The 20,745-nt window shown below is 35.7% G+C and overlaps 1 long non-coding RNA gene across 3 annotated transcripts in view; it reads right to left on the bottom strand.

The window, feature by feature from the left end:
* Nucleotides 1-4,824: 4,824 nt before the first annotated feature.
* The window catches only part of LOC105376193 (uncharacterized), a 45,342-nt gene continuing 29,421 nt past the window's right edge, over nt 4,825-20,745 (bottom strand). For all 3 annotated transcript variants that reach the window (XR_930195.2, XR_930194.2, XR_930196.2), the window contains 3 exons: nt 11,624-11,718; nt 9,264-9,421; nt 4,825-4,885 (listed from right to left, as the gene is read on the bottom strand). This is a non-coding gene — a long non-coding RNA (uncharacterized LOC105376193). The remainder of the gene's footprint in view (nt 4,886-9,263; nt 9,422-11,623; nt 11,719-20,745) is intronic.

Consider the following 20,745-nt stretch of genomic DNA (forward strand, 5'->3'; position numbering starts at 1 on the left):
AAACCCTCTTTAAATGTCACCTCCTCTATGAATACTTCTGTTTCCCCCTCAGCCCACAGCCTTTGAGTTTCCATAACCCCCGGCTTATATTGCTAGCCTCTTATTGCATCATCTTGTGCCTATTTGAATGAGTTTGCCTCTTCTGTTAGATTATGATAGCCTGCTTTCCAGAGATGCTGGCTTTTTCCCCTTATATACCTTATATAATCCCAAAGCATTTAAAAAGGGGTGGGAGGTAGAAAGGAAGAAAGGGGTAATTATTGAGAGGGACAGAAGTGGGGGGTATTTGGCATGCTGGTAATATTCTATTTCTTAACCTACATGGTAGTTGGCTATTAGTATGTTGTAATTCATTAAATTGTACATTTATAATTGGTATATTTTGTTGACATATGTGTTATCTCAATAAAAAGCAAAAAGAAGAAATAAAATTATCTACCATAATAAAAATACACTCATAGTCCAAACTCAGAAAAGAGACTACTCAACTACTTGTCTCTCTTCTACAATATCATTTTGCCCTGAGTCATCTCTTTTAGAGAAGATGAGATCTAAGATTCCCTGTCATGTAAGCCTACAGGTTGACCTTTTCATCAAATGTAATCATGGAATTTCTCAAATAGTTCTTGACAGTCTGCTGTGTCTTTTAAAATAAGGAGAGTCAGATTACTATTAAAAGATTGGAGAGAATAAAAAAATCTGGTTCAGATCAAATTTTGAGTCCAAAATTCTGATGTCTACTCTTTTATGCCTCCATAGCAATTTAGCAGTTGTAGAATTCAAATATGTTATTCCATGATTTTGAGAACCAGGTTCCCACAAGATGGAATAAAGTTTTAATTCATTAAATGTACTTTATGGTAGACTAGGGGTTCAACACTGGAAATCAGACAGCTTGCTGCCCTTAAAATGCTTACAGACTATTGAGAGAAAGGATGATTACAGTATAGTGTGAGAAGGACTATAGAAGTCCCCTGAGGAAAATGCATGCGTATCGGGAAAGATTACTACCTCCTATACAATCAACCTCACATTGGAGTCTGTTACAAAGCTCCACTGAGATACATACTTACTGGTCCCACCTGGATGGCAGGGGCAAATTATAAAATGAAAAACACATTGAAAGAGTTAAGCCTTGGGTAAGGTATGATTTTGCTCTTATAATGTTGACTCTCGGTTGACTTTTGACTGGTGGTTGCCTATTCCAGTGATCATTCATTGATACAACTATTTACTGATTCCCAACAGTATAAAAGGCACTATATTCAAGACTAAAAATAAGGCCAAAAAAAAAAAGACAGGGTATATCTCTGCCTTTGGAAAGTCACAGAAAGAACAAACAATCAGGAAATTAAAAAGATGTGACAAGCGTTGCAATGAGAAAGTAGAGATTATGTTTAGATATTTATGTCTCAGGGGAGACAGAAGTTGAAAACTGACCTTGAGTTGGTAAGGTGGGGAAATCTTTCCAGGCCTGAAGGGTCAAGAGGGAATAACTAACACAAGAGAGGAGTGAGAAGTCCTGGGACGGTGATTTGGCCAGAGGACACAGCACAGGAAAAGATCCAGAGGAAAAACTATAATCATGGAATTTCTCAAATAGAAATTCTCAGAGGAAAAGCAGATGACAGGTTCAGGGATCTGAGAAACCTTTATGATGAACATGAAGAAAAAGTAAGTGCTGAGATTGAAGAGGTGGACAGAGACCAATGAGTGATAGACCCTCAGAAGCTAGGTAAATTGGGTTTCACAGTTTTGGCTTATATTGTGGCAGTAAACAGAGAGATATCAGAACTCATTTAAGGTATTTTAAGCAATGAAGTGTTATAAGAGTTACATTCAAGAAAAAAAAAATCACTTAAATTGCCATTTGAGAAATTCAATGTGGGGAGGACCAGATTAGGGAAGGGAGGAGCTAAACCAGTCTTCTCAGCAGGGTTCATATACCGCATGGGGTTGGTGTGCTGGGACATAAGTGAAAGCTAGGGATACACATGGTGCAGTTTCAAGAGGTGAACATTTTACTTACAATTTGGGATAAAATAAGTTTTATGTTCTGTATGCTTCAAAGGTTTCACCCCATACATGTGCAAACAAAGCTAGCAGAACCTTGCTTTTCTCAGGCAACCAAGGTCATGGTTTTATCATGAAAGCCAAAAAAGTAAAAATAATTTATTTGTAGCAACAGATTAGAAAATATGGCACTTGTGTCTAGTCCCTGAGGCTTCACACACAAAAACTTAAAAGCAAAGATGATAGCCCTTCTCAGCCACAATTAGCAACTCAGTACTAAGCAGCAGTCATCAATGTAAAAAAAAATATGATATACTTAGATGTTTATTTAAAGTATGGGCTTTTTTATTGGAGAGATGCAAATTAGTCTAAATTTCAGTATCTTTTGTGTGAAAAAAGAAACTGAACAATTACTGCATGAAACTCTTCTTTCAACAACATTTAAAAGCCAATCATGCAAATTTTAAGCGAAAATCATCAGAAGTTTTAGAGCTAAAAAAGAAATGACTAAGAGCAAAACAATGAAAAGAACAATCAAACAAGCAAATGAAAAGTTCTTGGATTCTGCCTTCCAGATCCGTTTCAAAACCCTTTTGGAAGAAAATCTCATATTTAGAAGTACATTTAGAAAAGTGCTGTGCTATAGATGTGGCCAAATCTGTTTGAGTCAAGAGAGGGCAGTCAAACAGTTCCCTTAGACATCTCACCAGCCAACACATTTTAAAATATTTTAAACTTAAAGACAATTTAAGAGACTGAGGTAAAACTACTTATTTTAACAACTGGTTGCAAGCATATATCATCATGATTTGGCTATATTATTGGCCTGGAAGGCCAAATATATTAAAAGTCTGCAGAAAAAAACAAAACCAATAAGGGATCTGGAGGAGAAGGAGGAGGGTTGGTATGGGTGTGTGTATGCAAATACATATATAATTTATAATAAAGAATTGACTCACACGAAGCTGGCAAGTCCCAAGATTACAGAGTGAGTGGACAAGACAGAAACCCAAGAGAGCCAGCCCGAGTACAAAAGCTTAAGAACCAAGAGAGTTAAGGGTGTAGTCTCAGTTGAAAGGCTGGCAGGCTCAAGACCCAGCAAGAGCCAAGGTTTCAGTTTGAGTCCAAAGGCAAGAAGAAAGCTGGTGTTCCAATTTGAAGGCAATCAGGAAGGAAAAATTATTTCTACTCTGGGGACAGTCAGACTTTTGTTATATCAAAGCCTTCATCTGATTAGAGGAGCCCACCCATATCATGGAGGCCAATCTGCCTCATTCAGTCTATTGATTTAAATGTTAATCTCATCCAAAAGCATCCCCATAGAAACACCTAGAATAAAGCATGGTCAAATATCTGGGCACCCCATGGCCCAGTCAAATTGACAGATAAAATTAACCATTGCACTGAGTAATCTGATAAGTACTATTCAGTAATTAGTAGTGTAAAGACATTTCTCTCTATTTGAAAGATAGAGAAAAAGACATTTCTGTCTATTTGAGTGAGTTTTATAATAAGAGTTTTAAATTATATGTAGAAGATTTCTGGATTAATAGAGGGAAATTAGTTTAGATTTTTGATGTTTCTTTAGCTGAAAGTTATCCCAGGACACGGAGTGTCATCAACATGGGTCTCAAAATTAGCTCTTGTTGCTCCTTCACTTTCTTACCTTTAGAATTATAAAGACATCTGAACATTAAATATACAAAACAGATACACACAAACCTTGACAACCAAATCATTTAACAATTCTAAACATAAAGCTAAGTATTTGTTTCTTTTTTACTCATTTGCTTCCCTTAAAAAGCACTCCGAAAATTAGTGTTATGATAGAAGTAACTAAAACAGGGAGCTGGGACTATGATAAAGGTAAGCTACACCCAGGGACCCAGGGTAGGGACTTTTTTTTTTTTCTTTTTTCTTTTTCTTTCCTTTTTCCTTTTTTTTTTTTTTTTTTTTTTTTGAGAAAGTATCTTACTCTGTTGCTCAGGCTGGAGCTGGAGTGAAATGTCACAATCATGGATCACTGAAGCCTCAGCAAACCAGGCTCAAGCAACCCTTCCACCTCAGCCTCCTAAGTAGCTGGGACTACAGGCCTGCACCAACATGATTGGCTAATTTTTTATTTTTTGTAGAGACGAGGTCTCACTTTGTTGCCCAGGCCGATCTCAAACTCCTGGACTCAAGTGATTCTCCCACCTCAGCCTCTCAAAGTGCTGGCATGTGAACCACCACGCCTGGCTGGATGGGGAATATTTCAGTATAAGAAAACTTAATTCTGAAAGGAGAGAATAAGAGACATGATAAAAGTGACAGAATTACCAATGTGTATGACAAAAAGTATTAAATGATTTGGATACATAGAGGATATTTTGGGTATTTTTTTACCTATGTAATTTTTTTTGTATTTAGGAGGCTTAAGGAAGAAAGCACTAAAAAGCTCAGTGTTGGCATGGCTCTGAGAACCTCCCTACAGAGTTGAATAGACACATATTTTGAAACAGTTGGGACACGGCATTTCTATTAGTTTCTTTTATTCTCAGTATAGGCCTATTTTCTTCTTTTAAGCTGGTGTGTCAAAGGACTCTTGAGCAATTGAATCTTGTAGGCCCGGGTGATTTTTGGTCATTTGCCACATGTCACTCCTTTCTCAACCGTAAACCAACACTACAGAATTACAGCTAGAAGAATATGGTACCCAGGGATTTGGACAGTTCCATTCCAATAAATGATTTATATAATTAAAAACAAGGATAGGGAAGAGGGAACAAAACAGTGAAATACCGTACAGTTCTGGATCACAAAAGTTTTGAATACCTTCTACTTTGTAATATTTCCATTAAAGACTAGTGGGAGCCTGCCTTCAGTGCCTCACCTGAGAAAAGAAAAAGCTGTAATTAGTTTGCCTGCAGACAAACCCTTTTTTATTATATCCTGCTTTACCTAAAACAGAAAGAAGTCTTCTTGGTTCATATGTAATATCTGATTATGAACTGCACTATGCTGTCTTTGTAAAGATATCACTCACAAAAACGTACGTTCCTAAATGACAGAGAGCATTTCCAGCTGCTCGAAATAGATCTGGCACATAGTATAAACTCAAAAAAAATTTACTAATTTAATGTTGAATGCTTTCTGTGAAAGGGAATTTTAGTTCCATAATTAGCTACATTTACAGGAATTGAAATAGTAGCAAACAGAAACAGAAATAGAGGGCTAGAACTCTAATAAATGGCAATGGGGGACAGATTTGGAGTGTCATTTGCACAGAACATTCTGCTTGCACCCTTCCTGATCTACTCTCTACCCTAATATACCCTGATATATCTTCCAGGAGGTTGAGTGTCCCCTTTTCCTCTGTTTCCTATTGGGTTCTGCCAATGGGTGGGCCAGATGAAGATTAGAAGGCAAAAACAAGAAGCTGACACTTTTGTTTCATTGGCTTTTTGCTTTCCAGGCTCAATCTCAGCCATTTAACTAGCAAAGTACTCATCTTCAAGGGCGCTGACTCTCCTACAGCTAAAGTTCTCACCCAATCCAAAGATTGGGTGAGCCTAAGCCTTTGCCATCACTTGTGAATTTCCTTTTACCCTTCCCACACACATCTTTGTCAATTGTTTTGGGTATGCCATCTTCCTATGAGGACCCTAATCCATACAGCTTTGGATGTTGTGAGGTTTGGACTCAATTCTGTAGGAAAGAAGAATCAGTAGCTTTTCAAATATCGAGACATTCATACACCTCGAAATATTAGCAGCACAAAACAACCTAGTACACTGCAAGGTGCTTAGGAAGAGAGTCCTTATTAGAAGCCATAATCAGTGCTTAAAAGAATGCATGATATACATGGCCCAAGATACATATTAGTTAAATAAAATAATAAGTTAACCTTGAAAATAATTGATTAAATCTGTGAAGCCTACAGCTTAAACTTCAAGCAAGTACAAAGAGAGTACATTTTCTAGAAGAATCTCTAGTTATTTTGGAATGGAGGAGTAACAAAACAGGTAGACTACAGAGGAATTCTGTAAGCTTAAAGCAGGCAGTCTAAATGAGGAATTCCCCGAGACAGCAGGACCTGAGCAGGGTCTCTTTGGCCATTAGGTGTTGTGCCAGCTTTTATTCCCAGCTGTCTTACTGTGACCACAGATAATTCCTTCTGAGTGATTAAGTAAGTACATTAGTGTAGAGCCGCAGTGAACAATTATTGCTTTACAATCCATAAGGACAGACCTGGAATCGAACACAGAGCCAAGGCATCACTTGCCTCACCCTGCAGATGCCACTCTGATATCAAAAAATGGTTGACTTCATTAAGCTTTCCAAGTATAGAGCCTATGCGGATATTTTTAGAATTAGGAAGCCTGCAAGACAAGATGCCAAGCAGAACTAAGAAGGTGAGGGGGAAAATACAAAGGAGAAATTGAACAAAGAAAGATGCTGTTGGATTTCTTGAGCAAGTTCTTTTACTTCCCTTTTGTGGCCAAATTTCCTAGGATGAGGACTTTTTTTTTTTTTCCACCTCGAAATGACCTTTATTATTATTTGTGAGAGACTGTATAAATAAAACTTGTCTGTTACAAAAAATATGGGAAATGCAGTTAGAGCAGATAGGTAGACTACTATGTGGGAATATGTAAATTCTGCAACTGAATTTTATAAGTGAATTAATGTTTCTACAAAGGGTTAAACTAGGCTAACCAAGAACAAAGTGATCCATCTAGAAGCTTAATTGGTACAGAGTGATAAATTACATCTGCATAGATACTCATCTAATTCTAATTATAACCTGTAAGGTAAGTATCATTATCTCCAAATGAGTAATGTAAGAGTGCATATGAAAGCTATCATATACTGATGGTGTACTGTGTTCTAGGCATGTGCAAGCATTCTAATACATGAATTCATTTAAACCTCAAAATATCTCTGTAGAATTAGATTTTACTGGCCCTATTATTGTAGGTGAGAAAACTGACATCTATTCCACTTCCCAGGATAACATAACCTATACATGTCAGAGATGGAATTTTAACCTCATCTTTGAACTACAGATTCTCCAGGGTTTCCACTATTCCATACTGTCGTATGATTTTCTATCGGAAATACTGCCAGGTATTCTTAAAATTGGTGTTTCACACCACCAAGAGACTCCCCGCCTTTATGCTCTTCCACATGTCTTCTACTAGCAAAGATGGGAGAGAGACTCTCCTCTTGAATTTATGCATTAATTGCATGCTCGTATTAATGATTAGTGGAATAGTTCAGAATTATAAAATATACTTTGTGCTCTTCAACCCACCCTATCCTAGAGTAGAGGAACACTCTATAGAGAAAATAGTGCAGTATTATTTTCTTTAAAATATAGTAGCCACATTTGGATTCAAGGGACCAAAAACAGTGAGTTATCAAGTTTTCTGAGTTGAAAGTGGAAGTGCAGAACTTGTGAACTGTTGTATTTGGAAACATATTTGAAAAAGCTGCAAAATCATGAAGCCATTCAAAATACTATAAACCAGAGGGATAAATGAATGTACCATTATCTGCTGGTTTATCTATTTTATCCACTTCAGAGTATCTTAATTCTCATGTTCCAGGACTGCTGAATATGTTTAATTCTGCCAAATTATTTCATAACATAGAAATGATAAGAATAAAACATATATGAATTAGCAGATTTAGAATATGTTAAGTAGGGTATTGGAGTGGTTATAGACTCGGTGAACAATACTAGGAGCATAAGACACGGGAGAAGTGGTTATCAAATTCTAAATATTTAATATTTCATTTCTTCAGTGAAATCAACCATTCCACAAATGAATGATAGCCTAATTGTTGCTGGAGTTCAATTCTTGGATTTAAAACTCACAAGAGTGTAACTCTCAGCAAGTTATTTATCCTTTCTAATTCTCCGTTCCCACATGTGTAGTGATGAAAACAAAAATCTGTTGTAAGGCTCAACAGAATTAATGCCCTTAAGCACTTAGAGGAAGAGTTCAATTGATGTTTGCTCTTTGTATTAGAGCCTGAAAATTACTGTTCCCAAAATTTGCCTTCAAGAGAGCATCTACTAACAATAGGCTAAGAGTTGTGATACTGTGGCTAGGATCAAAGCTAGGAACACTCTGAATAGCATTAATTCTTTGATGACTTTTCTACTAACAAGACTCCTTTACATACCTTCAAACTATGATAATATATTTTGTGTTTATATAACAATTACATGTTTCAAACGCAATTGTATTTATTTCTGCATTTGGTTTGACAATCAACACTTAGCTTCATGGATACTGCACTGTTTCTGTGGCCAGTGCTGCCACTACAATCTTAAGCTTTAAGTCCTTCCAGAAGAGACCAGGAGACCACCCACGTTTACCCAAGGCATGAGATTGAAACATTAAGTTTGAATTTGGAGAATCAATGAAGTATACATGGTGACATCTGCTTTGTGCCCCTCAGCACCTATATAAAATATTTGCAGGACTATGTGGTAACTCCCAAGGGGTTCCTAACTGTATATTTGAAATTAATATTCATATCATTATATAACTTGAAAATAAATTACAGTTATCCTTTGGTTCCTATAAGATATTGGCTCTAGGACCCCTGTGAATACAAAAATCCATGATACTCAAATCCTTTATACAAAATGGTGTAGTATTTTCATATAATCCACACACATCCTCCTGTATACTTTAAATCATGTCTAGATTACTTATAGTACCTAATACAATGTAAATGCTAAGTAAATATTTGTTATGTTGTATTTTTTATGTGTATTATATTTTATTGTTGTGTTGTTATTTCTTATTGGGTTTTCTTTTGGAATATTTTTGATCCATGGTTTGGTGAGGGTGTTACTGTGGAGGTTCAGCTTTTCAGCGTTTTACATTTATATTGTCAACTTTAGTTTATGTTTTATGAACTTCCTCTTCACTTTCTTTGATCATTTTTTATGGGACTATTCAATATTTCCTTGCCAATTGTGTAATATCTCATTATACAGTTAACTCTTGGACAACACAAGCAATAGAGGTATGAACCCCTGATCAGTCAAAAATTTGTGTATAGCATTTGACTCCTTTATAACTTAATTACTAACAGCCTACTGTTTGACAGGAAGCATTACCGATAAACAGCCAATTCACACATGTTTTGTATGTTATGTGTATTATGTACTATATTCTTACAGTAAAATAAGCTAGACAAAAGAAAATGTTGTTAAGAAAATCATAAGAAAGAGAAAATATACTTACTGCTTATTAAGTAAAAATGGATCATTATAAAGTCTTCGTCTTTGTGCCTTCATGTTGAGTAGGAGCAGAAGGAAGAGCAAGGGCTGATCTTGCTGTTTCAGAGGTAGCAGAGGCAGAAAAAAATCAGGTGGACCTTTGCAGTTCAAACTGTTGTTCAACTGTCAGTTAAGAATATTCACATAATACTAGTTTTTTAAATCACTTCTTTGTTGGAAATACTAACATAAGAATTATTACAATAAAGAACAAAAGAAAACACTAAAGCATAAAGCTCTTAAAAAAATTAGCCTTTTTATTACTTTTAAATATTATCTCTAAAATGCTAAGTACAAACCAAGTTTAGACTTATAAAACTCATGTGTATTAGTCTTTAAATCTTATAGAGTTTTTAGCCTATTTGTAAGTATTATCTCATTAGGGAAATGCAAAACTTCAGAGGCATCCACAAAAATTTATATGAAGAAGAGCTTTAAAATTGTAAAATTGTAAAGTTTTCACATTACTTTAAAATAGCCCGCTTTTGCAGTTAGAAGCTTGAGTGAGTTTTCACTGATTCGAGTTTAGAACCTCTTAAAAAATGTAATGAACCAAAACAGTTGTTCTAATATTAAACACCCTCAGTAAATCTTAAAGAAGTTTAGTATTGAACCAGAATTTTTTTTCTAAGTTAAAACAACCATTCATTTTAATACATGTTAAGGGGTTTTGAAACATTTTGGCAAAATAGGATTTATTCTTTTTTTCCTCAGGGTTACCAAAAAAACTCCAAAAACATAAACAAACAAATGAACAAAAAATTTAACTTATAAAGAGAACACTTGGCTTTTATATTTTAAAACAAATCACTTAGTAATTGTGCTACTACTCTTGAAAGACTTCTGTTAGTGGATTTTTTGTAGGCTTTAGGTCAGTGCTATTAGTGACAGTTGTATACACCTTTATTTCTCCATTACCAGAAACACCTGTGTTTATGTGTTTATTATCCCATGGAGTCCCTTAAAGCTTAGAAGTATTCATCTTTGTATCCCCAGAGCCAGCACAGTGCTTGGTCCATTATAGATGCTAAATAATATTTTATGGAACTAAGTAATGGTGAAAACACACACAAGATCCACAGCATAAATTTACCACCTTCCCTCTGATTAAGGGCAGAAAAAAAATCAAAAATGTTTAGCCTGCATTTTCACAATTGGGATTCTGTAGAATAATATTGATGGAGATTTTTATAGATCTTCACACAGTCAGGGGAAAAAACCCACCTACTTGGAGAACATTGCTTCCTTTTGGAGAGGCATAATACACCTATGAAGAAATATTAAACATAATAAAAGATACTGTTTCATACATGCCTCTTCCAGTTTCTAAAATAAAGAGACAATAAGTTGCCTGATTTGTTAATTTTAAAAACTGCAAGAAAATATAGCCTTATGAAAAAGGAACAGAGTTACAAGTTGGAAGTCAATCAAGAGAAGTATAGGCTAAAAAACAAAATGAGCTCATTATAATAATAAAAGTTTAAAATACAAGGAACCCCAAATTCAAGAACGAAATATCAATTTGTGATGGAGTGTAATCAGTAGGAAAATTGAATTGCAGAAAACAAAATCAGTAACATGATGAACAGACTTGAGAAACCCCAAGAACATAAAGTAAAAAGATAGAGAAAAATGATACAATTTGATAAATATTTTGATTTAATTTATAAATTAAATGTGCTATTCTTAAAAACACAATAAATTTAATTTAAAAAAAAAGCAAATCCAGGATCTAATACAAATATTTCTGGGAAAAAATGGATAAGAAACTGGAGACTATACATTAAATAACTTACCAACTTATGTAAAAAATACATGAAAAAAATACCACAGTTAGATTTATCCTGGGTTTGGGTATTTTTAACTTTTTATTTTGGAAATGTTCAAACATATAAAAGAAAAAAGAAAAGAATATAATGAACCTCTAAGTATACATCACCCAGCTTCAGCAATTATAAACATCACGTTAGCACTTGTTTCATTATAGCTTTTTTTTTTTTCAGAGAGGGGGAGGAATTATTATGTCCCTTATGAATGCTGAAGACACAACTTTAACAAATAAAAAGGTATTTTTCATATAACCACCATAAAGCTAGCACACCTAACAACTTAATATTAATAGTAAATTCAACTTCCCTTTGGCAGGATCATAAAACCACAAAGAGGTTAGAGCTAAAAAGGAAAAGTCTAACTGACTATAGCTCAAATACCTTATCTTTGCAAAATCAAACAAAACAAAGCAAACAAAAACAGACTCTTAAAGCCCATCTCAAAGTCTTGGAAGGGGCCCTGAATCCCATTTCTTTAGCTTCATGATAAATTTACCTCTGACTGGAATGTGCCACTCTTAGCATCCTGTTAAGAGGCAACAGGATTCCACAGGTTATCAGACTTCATGACATACCAAGAGAGGCTGGACCCTAAGCAGAGAGCAGAAAATACATTTGTTTTGTTGCTGCTTGTTCCTCAATATCTAGGAGGGTGCTTGATATTGAAAGGGTACTTAATAAATATAAAATGAATGAATAAGGACAGTAGAATCTCCTTAGACTCAACAAAACATGTGCATGCCTCAAACATATTAGAACTACTGAACCTCAAGTAATAACACTAGGAGAAACAAGGGGCTTTTCAGCCAAAACCAATATGGGCCAAGTCCTAAAAAGCAGAGGGGCTTGCTCTAATTCTTTGGCACAGCATAGGACCTAGAATAAAATCTTAATATAATGCCGGAAGGGTTCAGCCTAAATCATGAATCAGACTGAATTTCTGGCTGGCAAGACAAGATGAGGATTTAAATTGTAATTACTTAAATGGAAATGAAACAAATATTTTCCTTGCACAATTGAAGATTCTATGAAAACTTATAATTGCTACATTTATGTTGCGTGTTTAGATATGTTTGGCATCGGTCCCAGCATAATTCCAATTAATCTTATAATGACCTTTTGAGTCTGTAGTACCTAGGGGTTAGAAGCTCAGATTTCGGTTTCAGACAGACGTAATTTCAAATACTAGCTCTTCCATTTGTTAACACACACCCTGAGCATTCACAACATTCATAACAGCTATAATCTTCAGTTTCCTCACCTGCAAAATATGAGTATTGTTTCATAGATAGCACACAGCAAATTTCATTTATTAGCTAAGGTTATCTATATCTACATAAATAAATATTTATAAGTATGATACAGAATGTAACTTACCAAACAAACAGAGGTAATAAATGTTGAGAAAAGAATTTAAGAATAGGTGTGTTCTGGCCCTACAGCTAGGTCTCTAGCCACTAGAAATGACTCAATCTTAACAGTTGCCATCTTAAGACATCTAAACACTTGCCATTATTTGATATTTCTAATTCTCTGATTTTCTTTTAAGGTCCTATTATTATATAATTTTTTTCAAATACAACCACTGAGGTAAATGTTGTTGCAGTCCAAATTTCCAAAGACATGACTCTTTCTTTTTATTTTTCATCCAAATGTTGAGTATTTCGTCTCAGTTGTTTCTCTTTCTAATTGCTTTAGGAGATAACATCATTGTGAATAGATTTTCTGGAAATCAAGATTGGAGAATAGAGCTGTTCAACCATGTTTCTCATGCTCAATATACGCTGTCTTAGTTGATTTTTCCATGAAGCATTCACCACATTGGCTTCTGCCTTACCTTATCCTTCTCAGATCAAGTTTCAAAAAAGATTAAACTGAAATGATCTCTTCTGAGCATTTTATTTCAGCACCTAAGGTAGCTTGGCATTTCTTAATAGATTAGGTACAAGTTTTAATGTATCTCCATAAAAGTGCTATCTTCCAGTTAACTGTACCTTCAGAAATACTCCCTAGGCCTTTTAGCAATCCTCATAGTTTATCTGGTAAAGCAGCTGGCTGAGAGGACAAAACTGTTTTCTAAGAAAATAATCAGACCCACTAAAGTATTTAATAGCAAGCAAATGGTTCCTATAAACCACATTCAAGCATCCTTTGCAGTCCTCAATAATATATTAAAATGTGCATACTTTTCTGAACCAGTTTGATGCCCCTTACACTGTGTATACACAAAAGAACATATTTGGAATCCTATCAGGTAATACAGAATCAGAGGTCCCAAATGAAACCTAACATATCAGTATTTAAATAAATGAAGCCCAGGCTCTTTGTAATATTTTATGCATAAATTATTAAGCCTTTCTCTAAGCCAGAGGGAAATTTTCAAATGTTAATTATATGTTTTCTCTTGGATCTTATTTTGCCAATCATAGTGTCTAAGGTTTCTCTCTCATTCTTTACCATATAATCATTCTGGATTCCTTCACTCTCTTTTAACTTTTGTCACGCATCTCGGATCTATTTAATATTTTTCTTGTTTTCTGCTTCCCCCTTAACCAAAAATTAAGCTCCGTGAAAGAGCAGGAAATCTGTCTTGTTGCTGCTTTTTAATCCATATCTAAGACACTAACTCATATTTATATGATACTTAATAAACATTAAATGAACAAGTAAACATAGGTCCTCTAACTCTAAATCCCTGTGAATGAAGGTCAGGTTGTTTCAATAAGACCTTAATAGTCAGTGATCATGACCATTTTAACACCAATTCATTTTATTTTAACTTTTATTTTAGGTTTGGGGGTACATGTGAAGGTTTGTTACATAGGTAAACTTGTGTCATGGAGGTTTGTTGTACATATTATTTCCTCATCCAGGTATTAAGCCCAGTACAGTAGTTATCTTTTCTGCTCCTCTCCCTTCTCCCATCCTCCACCCTTAAGTAGACCCCAGTATCTGCTGTTCCCTTTGTGTTGATAAGTTCTCATCATTTAGCTCCCACATATAAGTGAGAATATGCAGTATTTGGTTTTCTGTTCCTGTGTTAGTTTGCTGAGGATAATAGCCTCCAGCTCCATCCATGTTCCCACAAAAGACATGATCTCATTCTTTTTCACAGACACATAGTATTCCGTCATGCACATGTACCACATTTTGTTTATCCAATCTGTCATTGATGGGCATTTAGGTTGATTCCATGTCTTTGCTATTGTGAAAAGTGCTGCAATAAACATTCGTGTGAATGTTTCTTATATAATAGAACAATTTATATTCCTTTGGGTATATACCCAGTAATAGGATTGCTGGGTCAAATGATAGTTCTGCTTTTAGTTCTTTGAGGAATCATCATACTGCTTTCCAAGTTGGTTGAATTAGTTTACACTCCCACTAAGAGTTCATAAGTGTTCCCTTTTCTCTGCAGCCTGACCAGCATCTGTTGTTTTTTGATTTTTCAATAATAGTCATGCTGACTGATGTGACATGGTATCTCATTGTGGCTTTGATTTGCATTTCTCTAATGATTAGTGATATTGAGCTTTTTTACATATGCTTCTTGGCCACATATATGTCTTCTTTCGAAAAGTGTCTGTTCATGTCCTTTGCCCACTTTTTAATGGGGTTGGTTTTTTCTTGTAAATTTAAATTCCTTATAGTGCTGGGTATTAGATATTTGTTAAATGCATAGTTGGCAAATATTTTTCCCCATTCTGTAGGTTGTCTGTTTATTCTGTTGATAGTTTCTTTTGCTTTGCAGAAGCTCTTAAGTTTAGTTAGATCCCATTCATTAAATTTTGCTTTTGTTGTGATTGCTTTTCATGTCTTTGTCATGAAATCTTTGCCTGTTTCTATTTCCAGGATGGTATTGCCTAGGTTGTTTTCTAGGGCTTTTACAGTTTGGAGTTTTACAGTTAAGTCTTTAATCTATCTTTAGTTGGTTTTTGTATATGGTGCTTGGAAGGGGTCCAGCTTCAACCTTCTGCATATGGCTAGCCAGTTATCCCAGCATCATTTATTGAATAGGGAATCTTTTCCTCATTGCTTGTTTTTGTCAAATATCAGGTGGTTGCAGGTGCACAGCCTTATTTCTGGGCTCTCTATTCTGTTCCAATGGTCTATGTGCCTGTTTTTGTACCAGGATCATGCTGTTTTGGTTACTGTGGCCCTGTAGTATAGTTTGAAGTTGGGTAACATGATGCCTCCAGCTTAGTTCTTTTTGCTTAGGATTGCCTTGGGCTCTTTTTTGGTTGTATATGAATTTTTAAGTAGATTATTCTAGTTCTGTAAAGAATATCATTGGTAGTTTGATAGGAATAGCATTGAATCTGTAAATTGCTTTCAGCAGTATGGCCATTTTAATGATATTGATGCTTCATATCCATGAGCATGGGATGTTTTTCAACTTGTATGTGTGTTCTCTGATTTCTTTGAGCAGTGTTTTGTAATTCTCATTGTAGAGATCTTTTGCCTCCCAGGTTACTTGTATTCCTAGGCAACTGTGAATGGAATTGCCTTTCTGATTTGGCTCTTGGCTTGGCTGTTGGTGGTGTATAGGAGTGTTAGTGACCCTTGTACATTAACTTTTATCCTGAAACTTTGCTGAAGTTGTTTATTAGCTGAAGGAGCTTTTGGGCTGAGACTGTGGGGTTTTCTAGCTATAGAATTATCTCATCTGCAAACAGAGAGTTTGACTTTCTTTCTTCCTATGTCCCCGCCCCTTATTTCTTTCACTTGCTTGATTGCTCTGGCTAGAACTTCCAATACCATGTTGAATAGGAGTGGTGAGAGAGGACATCATTGTCTTGTGCAGGTTTTTAAGGAGAATGCTCCCATCTTTTGCCCATTCAGTATAATGTTGGCTGTCAGTTTGTCATAGATGGCTCTTATTATTATGAGGTATGTTCCTTCAATACTTACTTTATTGAGAGTTTTTAACATGAAAGGGCGTTGAATTTTATTGAAGGCCTTTTCTGCATTTATTGAGATAATCATGGTTTTTGTCTTTAGTTCCCAATTGATTGTTATAAGTTGTTCTGCCAAAAATAAACCTGTATTATTAAAAAGAAATTATGAAAACAATGTTTTCTACAAGGAAAGGGGAAATATGAGCTGGATAGTTTCAGAGTCACAACAAAAATATCTTTCTGACAGAAATTTTAAAAATCGTGTTTTTATATCTGAAAGTATTGCTGTAAAACTCAGGCACCTCATATTAAATCCTCCCAGGGTAAATGCAGTCATAATATGTGGAGATTTTCAGGCAGCATAAAGAGTTTAGGTTTTCTGCCTGCAATGGCAAATAACTGAAGAGTTTTACGTGGCGACAAAACTGTGCAGTTTTGCATTTTTGAAAAAAAGATAACTCTGGCTTCATTCTGGGAATGGATTAAGAAGGAGGAGAGAGTATATGTGAGCCTAGATTTAAAGTTTACTGAAAATGTGGAAGCGAGAGACGATGGTGGGTTTGTTCTGCTTCTATGCTTACCAAGCATTCCACAGACTTTGACTTGTCTGCTTGAGAGCACATTCTAGAAATACCAATATAAAAATGCCAATTTATGCAAAAGGTTTTTTTTCCTATTTAAGTTAATATATTAGCATTCTGGTTTCATACATCAGTTTGGTGAATTTAGTTACTGTGATTCTACTTGCATTGAAAAGAAAATTCAGGTTTCTGAGATTGCAAGGCCGAAGATCATACCCCGGACCTTGACAAATGCACCAAGATAAATGATGCCTTGTGAAGCCTTGTGAAAGACAGTCATCTTTTTTCTGGTGACATCCCAAATTCCACGCTGGATGTGCTTCCCTTCATTCTGAATTTAGAATGTGATCTTGATCTTGAAGGAGAGCTGAGAGTCATCACAAAGCCTCAGGTGCATCTTTATTTCACAACTACAGAAAAACTCCTCTTTTTCTCTATTTTATCTATTTTTACTACCATTGTCTGTTTCTTAAAGAGTAATGTCATAGGTCCAACCATGTGAGGGAACTATCTTTATTGGCCCTGCAGACCACAAATTTCTTCTAAGCAGACATGAAAGAATTAAGCAGCCTAGAGGGAAAATGAAATAGTAAGGAAGGTATAGCTATATGGAAACAAATAGATCTTAGCTCTTTCTTTGGGTTTTCATAATCCTCTTCTGTTTCTCACTTTGATTCCTGACACCATCAGTACCCTTAATAGCTAGCAGTAACAGCTACCTATTCATAGAGCACTTACAAATGTTACTACTAATAACATTTTATTATAAACAATAATTATTTTATTGGGGCCATTAGAGTGTTCATTGTATAATACATGCTCTCTTTATCCTGGCCTGTACTTATATAATAGTTACCATATGCCCTTTGGTTCATGCAATTAAAGATATGTGAGCTCTAATCTTATTCTGTTGTATTATAGTAAAGGCCTATCATAATGATGGTGTTCGTTAGAAGTTGATATAACAGTTTCTGGATTTGTGACATTGTTTCATGTTTTTTGCATTACTGTTCCTTACTTCTACATTGTTTTTCCCATGGACACATCCTGGAATTAGCTTTGCTTTTGTTTTCCACATTTGTCATTGCTGTTATGAAATCTTGAGGGCCTACTTCCAAAATGTATCCATAACTGTATGGTTGGCTGTAGCATACAGTTCTACTTTAGTCCTGATCTGAAGAACAAGAAGGAAGATGAAATTACATTTAAACATCTAAGCCACAGGGAGAACCATAGTGCCATTCAAATACTAGAGCAGGACAAGTTAGGAGCTGAATATAGACCTCATCAAAATGAATTGACATGGCTATCTAACCCAAGACCATCATTGGGAGAGATGTGTATGGTAGAAACAAGGGTTTTTCTCCACTTAGGTTTTGAATTAACCAAAAAATAAGTTTAGAAATCAGCAGATAAATATCAAATCACTGATGTTATTACTAGCAAAGCAGAAATTTGAGAATGTAGCTTTCTTTATAAGCAAGTAAGCCTCCTTATTTATAACTCCTGAATGAAAGACTTGCCCACCCATTTACAATTAACAGTAGACTGGAGCAAACCTCACACATAGGTACTTCTATCTAAAAGAGCAGAAATTAATGTGTATTCCCTGAAATTAGCTCACTAACTACAGAAAAAAAAGAGAGGGTGTCTGACCTATCAATGCCTTCATTTTTCTTCAAAACTCATCAGAAAAGTATGTCATTTTCCTCTCTACCCTTCTAATTGCCCAGGGGGAGAATAATGGAGAGTACATACTTAATAGGGTTGGCACACTAATGGATGTCCCTCCACATGGAAGGAAACATCAGAAGAATGAAATAAACATTCCCCTTTAAAAATACCAAAACAGTCCCATTCTCAAATTTGACTCTCAAATCAAAGCAGTATCATTTCTCACACACACACTGATATGGTTGCTGTATCACACCCAAATCTCATCTTAAATTCTAATCTGAATTGTAATCCTTATGTGTTGAGGGAAGGAGCTGGTGGGAGGGTGACTGGATCATGGGGACGGTCTCCCCCATGCTGTTCTCATGATAGTGAGTGAGTTCTCAGGAGACCTGATGCTTTAAAAGTGTTTGTCAGTTCCCCCCACCTTCCCCTCTCTCACCTCCTGCCATGTAAGATGTGCCTTGCTTTCCCTTCGCCTTCTGCCATGACTGTAAGTTTCCTGAGGCCTCCCCAGCCATGTGGAACTGTGAGTCAATTAAACTTTCTTTCTTTATAAATTACCCAGTCTCAGGCAATATCTTCATAGCAGTGTGAAAACGAACTAATATACACACATAATTTCTTCTTTGTTTGAAGACAATTATCTTCTATACTCCTTCTATTCCATCTCCCTCTTGTATGTGACTGACATCCAAATGGCCTACTATGACCACATAATCTTTTTGCTCTTTTAATTATAATATATAAAGTACATACAGATGAGTAAACACATGTAGAATAAAAATTATTCAGCAAACACCTGTCTAATCACCATTCAAATTAAGAATTATAAAATTACTACCTTCCTAGAACACCTTCATGTGCTCATTCCTGATTATAATCCTCAAGCCCTGACTCAAATGTTAGAGGTAATTTTCATTGTGATTTTGTTGATAGCTATAGCCTTGATTTTTCCTTAAAGTTTTACCAACTCTGATTGCAGCTCTAAAAGTGTAAATCTTTTGTCTGTTTTTGAACTACAAATGGATTCATGCCTTTTTTTTTTTTTTTTAACAATCTCGCTCTGTCACCCAGGCTGAAATATAGTAACGTGATCATAGTTCATTGCAGCCTCCATCTTCCAGGCTCAAGCAATCCTCCCATCTCAGCTTCCTGAGTAGCTGAGACTACAGGCACACACCACCATGGCTGGCTAATTTTTTTTTCTTTTTAAGTACATATGAGCTCTCACTATGTTGTCTAGGTTAATCTCAAACTCCTGGACTCAAGCAGTACTCCCATATTGGCCTCCCAAAGTGTTGGGATTACAGGTGTAAGCTACTGTGCACGGCCATGTTTTGCTTTTTGCAACCCAAATGTTTGTGAGACTCATCTGTGTTGCTTTACATAGCTGTAGTTGACTCACTTTCCACTGCTTTAAAGTATTCAATATATAAATATGTCACAATATACTTGTCTATTCTGTTATAAAGGACATTTGGATATTACGAAGAATAATGCTGTGGACATCCTTGTACATGCACTATAGCTCAAAGGTTCTCCAGTTTCCTGGAGTAGAATCTCTGGGAGTTTGTTTCTCTATAAGAGTATGAATATGTTCAATTTGATTAGACAAGCTAAAACCGATTTTTTTGTCTTTATTCTAAAAAAAAAGAAAAACAGGATGCATGTGCAGAATGGGCAGGTTTGTTACATAGGTATACATGTGCCATGGTGGTTTGCTGCACCTATTGACCCATCCTCTAAGTTCCCTCCCCTCACCCCCCCATCCCCCACCAGGCCCTGCTGTGCGTTGTTCCCCTCTCTGTGTCCATGTATTCTCAATATTCAACTCCCACTTATGAGTGAGAACATGCAGTGTTTGGTTTTCTGTTCCTGTGCTTGTTTACTGAGGATGATGGCTTTCAGCTTCATCCATGTCCCTGCAAAGGACATGATCTCCTTCCTTTTTATGGCTCCATGGTGTATATGTACCACATTTTCTTTATCCAGTCTATCATTGATGGGCATTTGGGTTGGTTCCATGTCTTTGCTATTGTAAATATTGCTGCAATAAACATACGTGTGCATGTGTAGAATGACTTATATTCCTTTGGGTATATTCCCAGTAATAGGATTGCTGAAACAAATGGTATTTCTGGTTCTAGATCCTTGAGGAATCACTATGCTGTCTTCCACAATGGTTGAACTAATTTACATTCCCACCAACAGTGCAAAAGCATTCCTATTTCTCTACAGCCTTGCCAGCATCTATTGTCTCCTAACTTTTTAATAATCACCATTCTGACTGGTGTGAGATGGTATCTCATTGTGGTTTTGATTTGCATTTCTCTGATGATCAGTGATGTTGAGCTTTTTTCATGTTTGTTGGCTGCATAAATGTCTTCTTTTGAGAAGTGTCTGTTCATATCCTGTGCCCACTTTTCGATGGGGTTGTTTTTTTCTTGTAAATATGTTTAAGT

Source organism: Homo sapiens, chromosome 9, assembly GCF_000001405.40.
Source record: "Homo sapiens chromosome 9, GRCh38.p14 Primary Assembly".
In the NCBI taxonomy this organism is placed as follows: domain Eukaryota; kingdom Metazoa; phylum Chordata; class Mammalia; order Primates; family Hominidae; genus Homo; species Homo sapiens.